The 1,786-nt window shown below is 47.3% G+C and overlaps 1 annotated feature.

Moving 5' to 3' along the window:
* Positions 380 to 1,078: an enhancer, noted in NCBI's record as "H3K27ac-H3K4me1 hESC enhancer chr11:96609483-96610181 (GRCh37/hg19 assembly coordinates)". NCBI's record gives its function as "activates a minimal SCP1, AML or CMV promoter by ChIP-STARR-seq in naive H9 embryonic stem cells {active_cell/tissue: H9 hESC(naive)}" and the evidence as "EXISTENCE:reporter gene assay evidence [ECO:0000049][PMID:30033119]".

Raw genomic sequence — 1,786 nt, 5'->3', positions numbered from 1 at the left:
CAGAAAACATGAATAGAAACATTCATGCCATAATTGTTTGATAATAGCAAAAAACAATTTTTTAAGTGAAAACCAAATGTTAAAAACAAGGGACAAAAAATGTGTAGTATATTGCTACAATTAGAGCACTGTTCATCATTAGATATGGATAACTACAGATACAGGTATCATCATGGATAATTTTCAAGTAAACATTAACCAAGTAGGACTCCTTTTATATAAAAATAATAGAACTTTAAAAATACTGTTAAGAGTATTTAAACTTCAAAAATACATGTTACCTACATATGTTGTAAACTATTTTGAAGAGGCAAAGAGATAATTAAGACAAAATTCAGGTTAGTAGCTAACTTCTAGAGTGGTGGGAAGCAGAGACAAGATGGCCAACTAGATGTAACCAGGAAGCACTTCGCCCACCAAGAGAGACCAAAATATCCAGTAAACTAACATACTTTGAAAAACCTTTTGAGAGAAAACACTGAGAGCTGACAGAGAGGTGATGCAGACTGAAGAGGGAGGCTGAAGAGGGAGAAAGCTGCGAACCCCACATGGACTTGCTAAATGCCAGGACTAGTTCCCAACCCTGAACAGCTCCTAAGGAAGGGGTGAGTGAAGTGACAGCAGGACAGGCAACCCACTCTCACTGCGGAGCTCTGGGATCTTAACTGCAAGAGATCCCACCACTCCCCTGTGGCCTGGGAGCACTTCTGTTCCCCCAGCACAGCCAGTGCCCAACCCCAAGGGGCCAGAAGACAAAACAGCAGGCCCAGTCCCAGCACCTAAAGGGTTAGGGTATGCAGCTCTGGGGTGCAAAGCTGAGATCTGTGGCTGGAACTCAGCACGGGAAGAGCCCTCACTCTCAGAATACTGAGAAGATTGTGAGGCGCAGGTTCCTGGGCTGGTATGCCTTCCTGGAGCTGGGCATGCATCCCTTTACAGGGCTGGTCCAGGAAAGGTGTGGCCTGGCCACCAGCAGCAGCCTCTGCCTGAGGCAGCCCCACAGTGCCTGGAATGTCTAACAGGCCAACGATTTGTGTGCAGAAGGCTTGGGACAAAACTCGCTGGGCAGGCCACATATTGGAGCAGCTGGGTGGTCTGCACAGCTGTCTGCTGGGCAAAAGAATACAAAAAAAAAAAAAAAAAAACATACAGCCCTAGCCCCAGGCTATGAGCACCTCATAGGCTGCACACCCACAGCAACACTGCCCTACCAGGTGATACCCCACCTTTGACCTAATGCATCAACACACCACCAGTGGACATACCCAACAACCTGCTCCGATTTTGCCAAGTACAGAAGACCAGTGGGCCTCTGGAGTGTTGTGGGTCTCCTGGTAACCTATCCTTCAGCTTGGGTAGCCCCTAAGGGAGAGGGGAGCACAGCCCACCAGGGCCCCCCTTGTGGCTAACGAAGTGTGGGCTTGGCACCAGTGATTGGAGGGGGCTTCCCTGAGGCCCAGTAATGGACCTGGCAAGGGGATCATCTTTTCCCGCATTGCCCTCCCTCCCCATCTCCCCCATCAGAAAGCACTGCTATAAACACACTGAATTACAAAGAGCCATGTGGCTGAAATCCTATCCTCTGGTTGTTACTCATAAAAGTCACCTACTAGATCACATCCTGAACAACACCACCAAAAAAATTCTAGCATATGTCACCTACGAAATCCAGTGCAAGAATCTAGCTACAAATGAAGATCCCATAAAGAGCCTTGGCCCTCTGAAAGCACCCAGAAATGAAGCCAAACAACTATACTCAATTTACACCACAGTCAAACCCTCAAAG

This window comes from Homo sapiens, chromosome 11 (assembly GCF_000001405.40).
Source record: "Homo sapiens chromosome 11, GRCh38.p14 Primary Assembly".
NCBI lineage: Eukaryota > Metazoa > Chordata > Mammalia > Primates > Hominidae > Homo > Homo sapiens.
Note: the sequence above shows the minus strand (reverse complement) of the source record. Positions and strands in the feature narration are given on the sequence as shown.